The following is a 15,150-nucleotide window of genomic DNA, read 5'->3' on the forward strand; positions in this document are numbered from 1 at the left end:
GCGGGGCAGGGCTCGGGACCTGCAGCCGGCTATGGCTGAGCCTCCCCGACGAGCACCGACCCCTGCTCCACGGCGCCCAGTCCCATCGACCACCCAAGGGCTGAGGAGTGCAGGCGCACGGCGCGGGACTGGCAGGCAGCTCCACTTGCAGCCCCGGTGCAGGATCCACTGGGTGAAGCCAGCTGGGCTCCTGAGTCTGGCGGGGGCTTGGAGAACCTTTATGTCTAGCTAAGGGATTGTAAACACACCAATCAGCACTCTGTATCTAGCTCAAGGTTTGTAAACACACCAATCAGCACTCTGTGTCTAGCTCAGGGTTTGTGAATGCACCAATCCACACTCTGTATCTAGCTACTCTGGTGGGGACTTGGAGAACCTTTGTGTGGACACTCTGTATCTAGCTAATCTAGTGGGGACGTGGAGAACCTTTGTGTCTAGCTCAGGGATTGTAAACGCACCAATCAGCGCCCTGTCAAAACAGACCACTGGGCTCTCTGTAAAATGGACCAATCAGAAGGATGTGGGTGGGGCCAGATAAGAGAATAAAAGCAGGCTGCCCCAGCCAACAGTGGCAACCTGCTGGGGTTGCTTTCCAGAGCGTGGAAGCTTTGTTCTTTTGCTCTTTGCAATAAATCTTGCTGCTGCTCACTCTTTGGGTCCACACTGCCTTTATGAGCTGTAACACTCACGGGAAAGGTCTGCAGCTTCACTCCTGAGCCAGTGAGACCACGAACCCACCAGAAGGAAGAAACTCCGAACACATCCGGACGTCAGGAGGAACAAACTCCGGACACGCTGCCTTTAAGAACTGTAACACTCACTGCTAGGGTCCACGGCTTCATTCTTGAAGTCAGTGAGACCAAGAACCCACCAATTCCAGATACAAAAGAATGTATTTGTTTGCGAACATAATTGTCAAGTAATATATATTATCTGTATAATGCACATCTAAATATCATTGCTGTTTCGGACCAGTCTGAACATGTTGCCAGAGGGTTGAAAATCATGACTACTGGCCGGGCGCGGTGGCTCACGCCTGTCTGTAATCCCAGCACTTCGGGAGGCCGAGGTGGGCGGATCACGAGGTCAGTAGATAGAAACCATCCTGGCCAACATGGTGAAACCCTGTCTCTACTAAAAATACAGAAATTAGCTGGGCATGGTGGCATGCACCTTTGACTACAGGTGCGTGCCTGCAATCTCAGCTACTCGGGAGACTGAGGCAGGAGAATCTCTTGAACCCCAGAGACAGAGGTTGTGGTGAGCCGAGATTGCGCCACTGTACTCCAGCCTGGGTACAGAGCGAGACTCCATCTCAAAAAAAAAAAAAAAAAAAAAAAGACTACTTCATGTATAGAAGTTCTCACTTGCGTTTAATGCTTTGTGAAATAGATTCCAACTAGTCAGTGTCTGTAAGGAGAACCCTTCCAATATACTCCTTGAAAAGAGTAGTTCACTGGACATAGGAAGTTAGCACTAACGTTTGGGGCAAGGAGAGCTTGTTGTAGTGTGGAACAATGAATTAAGAATCGTAAAGCCTGATGTCGGGTTCTAGCTGTAGCATAAATGTGCTTGCCCTGATCACTTGTCTCTTAATCTCTGGTCCTTAATTTAGAATATGTGAGTTGGAGGATCTCCAATATCTCTTCCAGGACCAAAAAGTAAAGGATTCTGATGAGTCCCCGTGGTTGCAAAACATAAGAGTAAATATACTTAAATATATAAAGTTAATAGTAGATAGATATACTTGGATTTTTTAATTCAGTTGCCTTACTCAATATCTTACCTTTTTCATTTGATAAATATTGAGCATCTACTATGTGGCAGGCACCAATCTACATATTTGGATGTTTAATAGGCCGTGTAAGTACAAGACAACTTTCGTGTTCTTTTTTTTTTTTTTTTTTTTGAGACGGAGTCTCGCTCTGTTGCCAGGCTGGAGTGCAGTGACGCGATCTTGGCTCACTGCAACCTCCAACTTCCAGGTTCAAGGTATTCTCCTGCCTCAACCTCCCGAGTAGCTGAGGTTACAGGCACGCACCACCACGCCCACCCAGCTAATTTTTGTATTTTTAGTACAGACAGGGTTTCACCATTTGGCTAGGATGGTCTCGATCTCCTGACCTCGTGATCTGCCCACCTCGACCTCCCAAAGTGCTGGGATTGCAGGCATGAGCCACCGTGCCAGGTGACAACTTTCAACTCATACACACACACACACACACACACACACCCTCGTCTGCTTGTCCTGTAGTCTTCACCATTCCAGTAAATGGCAGCTCTTTTCTTCTAGATGCTCAGACCAAAAACCTTAGGATAGTCCCTACTCCTCACTCCTCACTTTCTTTCACCCACCAAATCCCTTTTTTTTTTTTTTGAGATGAAGTCTTGCTCTGTCGCCAGGCTGGAGTGCAGTGGCCCGATCTCGGCTCACTGCAACCTCCGACTCCAGGATTCAAGCGATTCTCCTGCCTCAGCCTTCCTAGTAGCTGGGACTACACACACGCACCTCCATGCCCAGCTAATTTTTGTATTTTTAGTAGAGATGGGGTTTCACCATGTTGGCCAGGATGGTCTCTATCTCCTGACCTCGTGATCTGCCCGCTTCAGCCTCCCAAAGTGCTGGGATTACAGGTGTGAGCCACTGCGCCCAGCCTACCAAATCCATTCTTTAAGCAAGTCATGCTGGCTCTGCATTCAAAATATGTCTTATTACTTCCCAGTACCTCCACTGCTGCGACTCTATTCAAGTCGCCATCTTCTCTTGTCTAGATTACAGTGGTACTGTTTTAATGAGCTATTCCACTTTGCTACTTACAGAATCTTGTGTACACGGCAACCAGATGATCCTTTGTGTAAGTCACATCAGGTCACTCTCCTGCTCAGAATCCTCCAGTTGCTTCCCAACGTATTTCAGAGTCTTTTCCCTGGCCTATAAGGCTCTGGATACTTGGCAACTTCCGCAAGTATCTCAATAAACCACCCTTCCCCTTCTCACTGTATCACACTGGCCTTCCCGATGTTCTTCAAAGAAGCCAAGCATGTTTCTACTTTAGGAACTTTGCACTTGCTTTTCCATCTATTTAGCATCTGTTCTTCCTCCACATTGTCATGTGACTGACTCCCTCACTTCATTCCGGTCTCTGCTCAAGTATCACCTGAATTCACTATCCTCATTATGATGATTCTCCATAAAATAGCATCCCTATCCCCCATCCTCTTAATTGTTTCATTTTTCCTCAGACACATCTTTCTTTCCTTCCTTCCTTCCTTCCTTCTTTCCTTCCTTCATTCCATCCTTCTTTCCTTCCTTCCTTCCTTCTTTCCTTCCTTCCTTCTTTCCTTCCTTCCCCTTTCCTGCCTGTCTCTTCTCAATAGAATGTGAACTTCATGAGAACGGAGTTCAGTTACATTCCCAGTGCCTACAACAGTGCCTAGTACATGCTGAGTGCTCAATAAATGTTTTTTGAATGAGTGAATGGATTTAGGTTAAGTGAAGCCTCCTAAAAGAGAATTTCAGATAATATGGTTATATCTTAAGTCCTTGAAGGGGAAATTTGCAATTATTTTGAATGGCTGACTTTTTTTTTATTTTGAATCAGAGTTTTGCTCTTGTCGCCCAGGCTGCAGTGCAATGGCACAATCTCGGCTCACTGCAACCTCCACCTCCTGGGTTCAAGCGATTCTCCTGCCTCAGCATCCATAGTAACTGAGATAACAGGTGCCCACCACCACACCTGAGTAATTTTTGTATTTTTAATAGAGACAGAGTTTCACCATGTTGGCCAGGCTAGTCTCAAACTCCTGATCTCAGGTGATCTGCCTGCCTCGGATTCCCAAAGTGTTGGGATTACAGGAGTGAGCCACTGCGCCCAGCCGAATGTTTGACTCTTTTTTTTTTTTTTTTTTTTTTTTTGAGAAGGAGTCTCGCTCGCTTTGTCGCTCCGGCTGGAGTGCAGTGGTGCAGTCTCAGCTCACTGCAATCTCCGCTTCCCGGGTTCAAGTGATTCTCCTGCAGCTGGGATTACAGGCGCCCGCCACCATACCTGGCTAATTTTTGTGTTTTTAGTAGAGACAGGGTTTCACCATCTTGGCCAGGCTGGTCTTGAACTCCTGACCTCGTGATCCACCCACCTTGGCCTCCCAAAGTCTGGGATTACAGGCGTGAGCCACCACACCCGGCCGGTTGACTTTTACAATTATATTTTTCCCTTCCAAAAGAGCAACATGTCATACTATATATGTCGTCCTTAAAACTAGGTCACTCTCCACCTCCTGAGAGCCAACAGCCCTTAGGAGTTGCTGAGGAGAGAGTATGAGGACAAGAATATTTCCTTTCTATCCTTAACCTTGCCAGGATCTTCCTCTTTCTGGTGAACTATGATACCCTGTCCTCTCTGGTGACTCAGAAGCGTTAGAGCATTTTTTTTAAGTCACTGTAAATGTGACTGTTGTATAGATACAAGAACTGTTATATAGATACAGAGCTAGTAGGTGTCTAAAGTATGCATCGCAGTTAGCCCAACTAGCTTTTCAGGGGTTGTCTTTTATGATAGCCTTGCTTTCTTACTGGAAGAGGGACTGTCTTCTTTTCTAAGCAGGTGTGGCCATTTTCATAACTTGCTCCTACATGCATGTTAGCGCTTAGCAAAATTCCTGACAAAGTGGAAAATATTACAAGCCACTAAAAGCATTTAGAATGAAAAACTGTTACTCAATGGCTTAAAGATATTTAGCCATTCTAAAATCCTAAATCAAAGTGTGTGTGTGTGTCTGTCTGAGCACATGCTAAAAAGTAATTTAGAAATTACTAGACATAGAAATATTTGCATTTCCTTAGAAAATGCTCACTCCTTTGACAAAACCTTTGCTATCCAATCCATCCATTTTTTAAAATAACAGATCATTTCACTAGACGGTCTGTTCATTTAATCTTCATGGGTACAGATGGTCAGGTATTTTCTATTTATCCTCTTTCATTTATTCCTTACCAGCATCCTTCCTCCAGATGTGCCTCCCTCTGGTCTATCAAAGGGCCTCTTCTTCACTGTCTTGGCACAATGCAATTTTACAAAGGAATCCCAGGAACCTTAAAGGTTAGGTATATAAGAATTGAAAGCTTGGTGGCAAAAAGAAAGGGGAGTTTCTTAGGGGGATTCTGTCTAGACGGTGGTCCCCTACCACACTGTTGGGGGGCATATATTATATAGATGTAGGGGTGGGTAAGTCTGTGATCAGAGCAGAGGGTGAACAGGTTCTTGAACTGTTAGGAAGCTGCTGTCTTACCCAAAGTGAAACAAATACCTTGTCTTTCACCATTTTTCTGGCAGGAGATGGAAAAATAAGATTCTTAAATAACATCTACTATTTCTTTTTTTTTTCTTTAGTATATCAGTAGGACAGTGAAGTTGGAAAAGTGGAATATGAACCACTTCTGAATGTCTTTGATGTTTTAGAGAAAGTACTATTCGAAGATGGAAGAAAACATACTAGAAATAATCCAAATCTCCAAGTCAATAAAATAAGTCTCAATAATCTGCCCTAGGATTTAAAATATATTATTCTGAGTATTGACTTGGAGATGCAATGGAGAGAGTAGATTATAAATAGAAACTTGTATCAAGCAAAAGTAAATTAAGCTGCCATTAAGATACTTATATAATTAGCCTTCTAAGAAGTTGAGCGAATTCTATTTCTGAGTCTTTGGGCACCCCTGGAGTATTACACAGACAAGGACATCATCAACTATTCAATTTGACCAAGTATGTCTACAAAGTTACTTTCTGTCCATCATCCTTCTTATGTAGACAAAGTTATATGTGCCCTGGAAGTTTAATTCTGTAAATATCCAGGTCTCCAAACTGGCCCAGTAATAATAGTAACAGCTATTGACCACTTTTATGACACGTAATAATTCATTTAAAACTCACCATAGTCTTTAGAGGTAGCTGCTGTTACCATCATCATCTCCATTTTACAAATGAAGAAACTGAAACACAGAGAGGTTAAATAATTTCCAGTCCCATAGCCAGAAGGTAGTGGAGCTGAATTTGAACCCAGCTGATCTGACTTCAGAATTGCGCTCACAATCTTCTTTGGCCCATGAACATGATGAGTTCTCCATTCTTCTACTTAAGAAAGTATTAATACCTAGTTAGCCACCCTCTGGGGTAGGGATTGAGGAACAATGTTGAGAACTTAAGGGTCATTGCCTTTGTGATACCCAACAACTCAATCTTCTTCCTCTAAGAGCAAGTTTGCCAGTTTTGATGTCTCAGCACCTCTGGAATCCGCACTGAAGGAATCAGTTCCTTAGAGAGGAAGGCAGTTCCTGGATCTCTTGTTCGAAAGTTGGCTGTGTATTTGGGCAGTACTCCAGCTACTGGAGAGATAGGTAGGAAAGCCGGGAGACCCATCAGTCAGCAGTTTGCTAAAGTGAAGTTTCAGTGTCCAGGCACAGTGGCTCACGCCTGTAATCCCAGAATTTTGGGAGGCCGAGGCGGGCAGATTATTTGAGGTCAAGAGTTCAAGACCAGTCTGACCAATATGTTGAAACCCCATCTCTACTGAAAATACAAAAAAATGAGCCAGGCGTGGTGGTGCATGCCTGTAGTCCCAGCTACTTGGGAAGCTGAGGCAGGAAAATTGCTTGAACCCAGGGGGTGGAGGTTGTAGTGAGCCTAGATTCCGCTACTGCATTCCAGCCTGGGCGACAGAGTGAGACTCCGTCTCAAAATAAAAATAAAAATAAAGCTTCAGCATCTGAGCTTCTCGTTGCAAAGGTTAGTGAACTAGCCCAGCCTGTAGGAGTTTTTGGGAGCAGAAGTTAGCGGAAGGAGTCTTTTACCCAGGGTAGTAGTACCACCACAATCAACAAAGCAAGAAGATTTGAGAGTCAGAATTTACTGGCAACAGTCCTGGGCCTATACATCAGAGAAGAAAAATTTGAACGGGTCCTGAAATAAGATTAGAAGCAGATCTGAAAAGCCAAAGTAAAGAGCCAGGGAAACAAATGAAAGCCAGGCGCACTGGGTTCAATGCTAGATGACAGGGTGATTCTTTGTGAATGCCAAAAGGAAGTGGTTGCAGGCAGTTGCAACCTTTGTTTCCATGCCCTTTGTAGCAGGGCATTTGGAAGAAACAGTTGCATTTAAGGGTTAGGGATTCTGTGCCTTGGCAGGGTTGTGAGTTTCCAGCATTGAGACCAGTTGGTAACCAGATCTGCTCGACTAGAGCCCAATCTGCAAAGCTCCCTAATGCAGAAGGGAGCTTTACCATTGTGTAAACAGATTCTATCTTCCCATGGTTCCTAGAAACCAGATAGCCTTCATCGCACATCTTCACTCTATTCTAGAGAAATGAGGGCAAGGTGTTGGGCAGGGCAGGTTAGAGACGAATAGTCGGGTATGGCACAGGTGGCTCCCTGTTATCAGTGGGTATGGTTTACCTCACATGGGGCACCTACAAACGAAGTAGTGGCCAACAGAGCTGCTTTGTCTGTGGGCATGTTTGTCTACCTGCATTATTAGAGGACTTGTTTCCTCTTCCCTACCACAACAATCCTCCCAAATTGTTTGAGCTTTTTCTACTGCCTATTTTTGCAGCCGATGTCAGTTGATCAAGAGGTATGGCCTGGTATTTAGTCCACCTTGAGTCAGATGCAGGTATCAGTTAGCAACTCTGCTTACTAAGTACTTGAATATTGGGTTCAAATCATGTTATAGTATCATTTATAGACAACTCATGAGCAAACCACCAAAATTCTGCTGTGCAATAACAGCAGGGCAGATCATGGTATTAAATGTATTTATCCTGGCAGGGAGAAGGTATGTGTATACTGTAGGACAGCTGGAGTGTGTGTATTGCTTTCAAAGGTGGGATTGCAGGCTACATGAGAGAAAATGAATTTCCCCAACCTCTCCAACGGCCAAGATAAAAGACATGCCTTTCTATCTCTTCACCTTTGATGCATTCAAAGCTACATCATCATGTTACACAAGGTCCCTTTTAAGAGTAGGTGTAGCCTGGGCCAGCCATGGTGGCTCACGCCTGTAATCCCAGCACTTTGGAAGGCTGTGGTGGGTGGATCACTTGAGGTCAGGAGTTCGAGACCAGCCTGGCCAACATGGTGAAACCCCATCTCTACTAAAAAATAGAAAAATTAGCTGGGCATGGTGGCAGGTGCCTGTAATCCCAGCTACTAGGGAGGCTGAGGCAGGAGAATTGCTTGAACCCAGAGGTTGCAGTGAGCCGAGGTCATGCCATTGCACTTCAGCCTGGGCGACAGAGCAAGACTGTCTCAAAAATAATAATAATGCTGCAAAAATAACATTCTCATTCACCAGTCTCACTCAGTTGTTGGAGAAATTACTTAATTTTCAAAATTGTGGGGTAAGATGTGTAAGATCTATGCACAAAGCTATTTATTATGGTATTATTGCAATAGCAAAAGACTGAGAGCAACCCAAAATTATCAGTGTGGGACTGGTTTTAAAAAACTATGATACATCCACGTGATGGAGGACTATGCATCTATGAAAAGGAAAGAGATGAAGATCATGTAGCTCCAGGATAACTGGTTCAGAATGGTGCTTATAGTATGCACCTTTAGTACAAGAAGCAGGAAGGGACATGAAAATATATACATATATACTTATGTTTGTAAGAAGCTATGATGAGAAGATAAACCCAAAATAAATAAAAATGGTAAACAAATGGAGAAGGAGGGCATAGAGTGAAGGGCATAGAAATAGTCCTATGGAGAAAAATAGGGAGGGGGGTGGGGCAGGATTGCAATTTTATTATTTATTTATTTATTTTGAGACAAGGTCTTGTTCTGTCACCCAGGCTGGAGTACAGTGGTGTGATCTTGGCTCACTGCAATCTTTGCCTCCTGGGCTCTGAAGGAGGCCAGCCCCTCCACACCTGTGGGTATTTCTTGTCAGGTGGGACGAGAGACTGAGAAAAGAAATAAGACACAGAGACAAACTACAGAGAAAGAACAGTGGGCCCAGGGAACCGGCGCTCAGCATATGGAGGACCCGCACCAGTGCCCGTCTCTGAGTTCCCTCAGTATTTATTGATCATTATTTTTACTATCTTAGCGAGGGGAGTGTAGCAGGGCAACAAGTGGGGAGAAGGTCAGCAGGGAAACATGTGAGCAAAGGAATCTGTATCATGAATAAGTTCAAGGAAAGGTACTGTGCCCAGATGTGCACGTAGACTAGATTTATGTTTCTCTTTACCCAAACATCTCAGTGTAGCAAAGAGTAACAGAGCAGTATTGCTGCCAGCACATCTCACCTCCAGCCACAGGGCGGTTTTTTCCTGTCTCAGAATAGAACAAATGGGAATGGTCAGCTTTACACCAAGACATTCCATTCCCAGGGACGAGCAGGAGACAGAAGCCTTCCTCTTATCTCAACTGCAAAGAGGCCTCCCTGTTTCACTAATCCTTCTCAGCACAGACCCCTTACGGGTGTCGGGCTGGGGTATGGTAAGGTCTTTCTTTTCCCATGAGGCCATATCTCAGGCTGTCTCAGTGCAGGGAAACGTTGGACAATACCCAGGCTTTTTTGGGCAGAGGTCCCTGCGGCTTTCTGCAGTGCATCATGTCCCTGGTTAATAGAGAATGGAGAATGGCAATGACTTTTACCAAGCATACTGCCTGCAAACATATTGTTAACAAGGCACATCCTGTACAGCCCTGAATTCATTAAACTTTGATTCATTACAGCACATGTTTCTGTGAGCACAGGGTTGGGGCTAAAGTTACAGGTTAACAGCATCTCAAAGCAGAAACAATTTTTCTTAGTACAGATCAAAATGGAGCTTTTTTGTCTTCCTTTTGTACATAGACACAGTAACAATCTGAACTCTCTTTCTTTTCCCCACGGGGCTCAAGCAATCCTTCCACCACAGTCTCCCGAGTAGCTGGGACCACGGAGGCTTGCCACCATGCCTGGCTAATTTTTGAATTTTTGTAGAGATGGGGTTTCACCATGCTGCCCAGGCTAGTCTCAGACTCCTGGCCTCAAGTGATCCACCCACCTTGGCCTCCCAAAATGCTGGGGTTATAGGCCTGAGCCACCACGCCCAGCCAAGTCTGCTTTTTAAAACAGCTTTCTTGACACACATACTATAACATTCACCTTTTTTTTTTTTTTTGAGACGGAGTCTCACTCTGTCACCCAGGCTAGAGTGCAGTGGCGTGATCACAGCTCACTGCAACCTGTACCTCCTGGGTTCAAGCGATTCTCCTGCCTCAGCCTCCCAGATAGCTGAGACTACAGGCACCCGCCACCACACCCGGCTAATTTTTGTATTTTCAGTAGAGATGGTGTTTCACCATATTGGCCAGGCTGGTCTCAAACTCCTGACCTTGTGATCCACCCCCTTGGCCTCCCAAAGGGCTGGGACTGCAGGCGTGAGCCACCGCACCCAGCCAATATTCACCCTTTTAAGTATACAGTGTAGTTCGTTTGAGTCATTATACAAAGTTCTGCGATCATCACAACCACTGAGTTGCAGAATATTTCCATCACCCCCCCAGGTCCTTCATGCTCATCTGCAGTTACTCCTTGTTCCTTTCCCAGCCCCAGCCAACCACTAATCTACTCTTTACTACTACAGATTTGCCTTTTCTAGACATTTCATACAAATAGAGTCATACAATATGTGGCCTTTTGTGTCTGGCTCTTTTTGCTGGGCATAATGATTTTGGATTTCACTGAAGTGGTAGCATATATCAGCATTTCATTCCTCTTTTATGGCTGAATTGTATTCCATTGTGTGGATATACCACATTGTGTTTATCCCTTCTCCTGTTGGTGGCCATTTGGCTTGAGTCCATGTTTTGGCTATTACGAAGAATGCTGCTGGCCAGGCACAGTGGCTCATGCCTTTAATCCCACTTTGGAAGGCTGAGGTGGGTGGACCACCTGAGGTCAGGAGTTCGAGACCAGCCTGGCCAACATGGAGAAACCCTGTTTCTACTAAAAATACAAAACTTAGCCTGGCATAGTGGCACATGCCTGTAATCCCAGCTGCTGAGGAGATTGAGGCAGGAGAATCACTTGAACCCGCGAGGCGGAGGTTGCACTGAGCCAACATCACGCCACTGCACTCCAGCCTGAGCGAGACTCTTTCCAAAAAAAAAAAAATGCTACAAAAATAACATTCTCATTCACCAGTCTCACTCAGTTGTTGGAGAAATTACTTAATTTTTTAAAAATTGTGAGGTAAGATGGTATAATTTGGAGTTTTTCCTCGTGTTTCCAATTTCTCAGAAATTTGGTTACACTGTATTTATAGTTTTAAGAATAAATTTCGGCCGGGCGCGGTGGCTCACGCCTGTAATCCCAGCACTTTGGGAGGCCGAGGCGGGTGGATCACGAGGTCAGGAGATTGAGACCATCCTGGCTAACACGGTGAAACCCCACCTCTACTAAAAATACAAAAAATTAGCTGGTTGTGGTGGTGGGCGCCTGTAGTCCCAGCTACTGGGGAGGCTGAGGCAGGAGAATGGCGTGAACCCGGGAGGCGGAGCTTGCAGTGAGCCCAGATCACACCACTGCACTCCAGCCTGGGTGACAGCGAGACTCCGTCTCAAAAAAAAAAAAAAAAAAAAAAAAAAAAAAAGAATAAATTTCATTCATTTGATTTAAATTTTATCATGAAATAGTTCAGTCATACACAAAGGCATAAGAAGTATAACAACAAAACAATCATGTACCCACTACAGCTCAAGAAATATCCCTTCCTCCAGGAGATAACTACTATCATAAATTTGTGTTTATCATTCTCACTCATTTATCTGTATGTACTTTTACCAACATATACACATTCTTATACAAATACAGTATTGTTTTGCATGATTTTAAATGGAATATGCACTGCATAAATATAATCCTGCTATGTACTCCTCTTAATACTTTAGTACTAACGTTGTAATTTTCACAATAACCATAAGATGTGGAAAATATTATCCCCACTTTACAGATAAGAAAATGAAGGCCAATCAAGGTTGGAGAATTGCCAAGGTCTTACTGTTAGGAAAGAACAGAAGCAGGTTTGAACCAAGTGAGCCTGACACCAGAACATCTGCATGACTATGCCACACTATTTCAAATGCTGTTATACTATCAGTATTCTTATGCCATCTTCTTTTTCCCTCAGCATTATGTTTTCAAGATTCACCATGTTGATACATGTAACCCTAATTCATTATTTTCACTGCTGTATGGTATACTGTTCAATAAATAGACCACAGGTAATTTGTTCATTCTTCTATTAATAGAAGACATAACCAACAATGTGGCAAGTGCATACTTGTACATGTCTCCTTGTGCATATGTGCAAGAGTTTCACTAGGGTATATGCCTACAGATACAATTTCTGGGTTACATAATATGTGCATCTTCAAATTAACAAGATATTCCCAAGTATTCTCCAAAATGGATATCATTTTACTTTCAGGAAATAAGTTTGTAAGAAATTCTGCTGTCCATAGTTACCATGTATAAAAAAGATACTACAATAAAAGAGAAGAAAACATCAAGAAAAATGACAAAAAATAGGAGCCAAAATAGAATAGCAAAGTCACCCAAGTCTGCCATTTATAAATTCTTCCTCTTAAGTGCATGCAACAGAGGTGAAACACAGCATTTCTCTACTCTCAATTTTCCTTGCCTTCTAAGCAATATTCAACTCTCAGACCTTCTCTGAAGAGTGTGGACATGAGAGTTTACTACAAATATTAAAATTTCTGAATTTGACATGAATCACGTTAAGGTGGATTTCCCTCACAATTCAGCATTTCATTTGATCCCTCTCCTCCTCAAGCATTGCCATCGGTTTCTTCCCTACCAGCTTGAAACTTCCTATTTAATTTCATTCAAAATGATGGAGTATGAAAGAGCTGAAATGCTCTGTTTCATATGGAGATGTAGATACAATATAGAGACATACCTATAGACCTCAAGTAAGTTTTCTCAGCAAAGACCCATGATAAAGTTGTAAGAAAACAACAAATTTGGCATGATATTTTAGTTCGATAATTTAGATGCATCCAACTAGTAACAAATCTAACTGCATTTTAAAATAAAAATTTAGCCCTAGTTCATGATTTTCACTACTATATGTGTACTGTTCGATAAATAGACCATAGGTAATTTGTTCATTCTATTCAAGTGAAGGATGATGACAGCCTGAACTAGAGAATGTGATAGGTATGGAGAGGTGGTGACAGAGAGGAGGCAGAATGGCAGGATTTGTCAATCAGATATGAAGGGTGAGAAGAAAAGACAGAGGGAGGAAGGATGTTCCAAAGTGTCCAGACTGTGCGATTTAATTTCCTTCACCTCCCTGTCAAATGATAAGTTTGAATGCCAGCAGCACCAAAGCATCGTATGATTGAAGATCTTTTGTTTCCCTAGATGCATGATAAGGCAAGGCTAAAAGCCCCCAAGAAAATCAGAATGGCAAAATAGCCCCATCACATACTCATGTAGAAGGAGAGAACTCAGAAATGAATATTCTTTCTCAAGTGATGGCCTGATCTCCCTTTTCCATTTACCGCCTGATCTCCCTTTTCCATTTACCTCCTCCTTTTCATCATATTGCTTCTTACCCTGTCTTAAGGTACAATGTTTTGGGGTAAAAAGGGCACTCACCCTCATACGACAGTCAATGAAAGTGTAAATTACAGCAAGCTCTTTGGTTTTTGTTGTTGTTGTTGTTTTTGAGACAGAGTCTCACTCAGTCACCCATGCCAGATGGTGCAATGGCACCACCTTGACTCACTGCAACCTCCGCCTCCCAGGTTCCAGCGATTCTCCTGCCTCAGCCTCTTGAGTAGTTAGGACTACAGGTGCCCGCCACGATGCCTGGCTAATTATTTGTATTTTTAGTAGAGACAGGGTTTCACCACGTTGGCCAGGCTGGTCTTGAACTCCTGACCTCAAGTTCTCCGCCTCCTTGGCCTCCCAAAGTTCTGGGATTACAGGCATGAGCCACGCGCCTGGTCTACAGTAAGCTTTTTGAAAAACAATATGGCAGTATTCTCCAAGAGCTTAACTATATTCATAGATTTAGGTCAGATAATTCTAGCTCTGGTAATTTAACCTAAAAAAGTAATTATCTGGAAAAAATATTCATGTACATAAATGTTTATTTTGGAAATATTTATAACAGTAAAAAACTAAAAACAATCTCCATGTAAAAAATTTGTACCTTGTGAAATTAGACACATCTCTCTTTTCATTAATGTTTTAAAAGAATTTTTAAATGAAAGAATGGTTATATTATAATGTTAAGAAAAAAACGGCCAGGCGAGGTGGCTCACACCTGTAATCCCGACACTTTGGGAGGCCAAGGCAGGTGGATCACGAGGTCAGGAGATCGAGACCATCCTGGCTAACATGGTGAAACCCCATCTCTACTAAAATACAAAAAATTAGCCGAGCACGGTGGCACGCACCTGTAGTCCCAGCTACTCAGGAGGCTGAGGCAGGAGAATCGCTTGAACCCAGGAGGCGGAGGTTGCAGTGAGCCGAGATCACACCACTGCACCCAGCCTGGGTGACAGAGCACGACTCCGTCTCAAAAAAACAAAAAAAAAAGAAAAAAAGAAAAGAACAAGGCTGAGGTGGAGGATCACTTGAGGCCAGGAGTTCGAGACCAGCCTGGGCAACATAGCGAGCCTCTGTCTATACAAAAAATATTCAAAATATTATCCAGGCATGGTGGCTCATACCTATAGTACCAGCTACTCAGGAGGCTGAGGCAGGAGAACCCCCTGAGCCCAGAAGTTCAAAGAGGTTATAGTGAGCTATGATCGCACCACTGCACTCCAGCCTTGGTGACACAGCGAGACTCTGTCTCTTAAAAAGAAAGAAAGAAAGAAAAAGAAAAAACAGTATAAAAGTAAATATCTATTATAATGTCAAGTTTATTTTATAAAAGCATAGTAAAAACTGGAAAAAAATATATCAGGATTATGATATAGGTGATTTTTGTTTTCTTCATTTTATTTTTCTCAAATTTCTATAATGTAATTTCTTATATAATGAGAAGAAAGGGTGCTTTTTTCCAACCCTACCCCACATCCACCTGTTAGATCAATTCCGAGGTGTTAAAGCAAGATCGTTG

The sequence above is a fragment of the Homo sapiens genome, chromosome 15 (genome assembly GCF_000001405.40).
Source record: "Homo sapiens chromosome 15, GRCh38.p14 Primary Assembly".
Taxonomy (NCBI): Eukaryota; Metazoa; Chordata; class Mammalia; order Primates; family Hominidae; genus Homo; species Homo sapiens.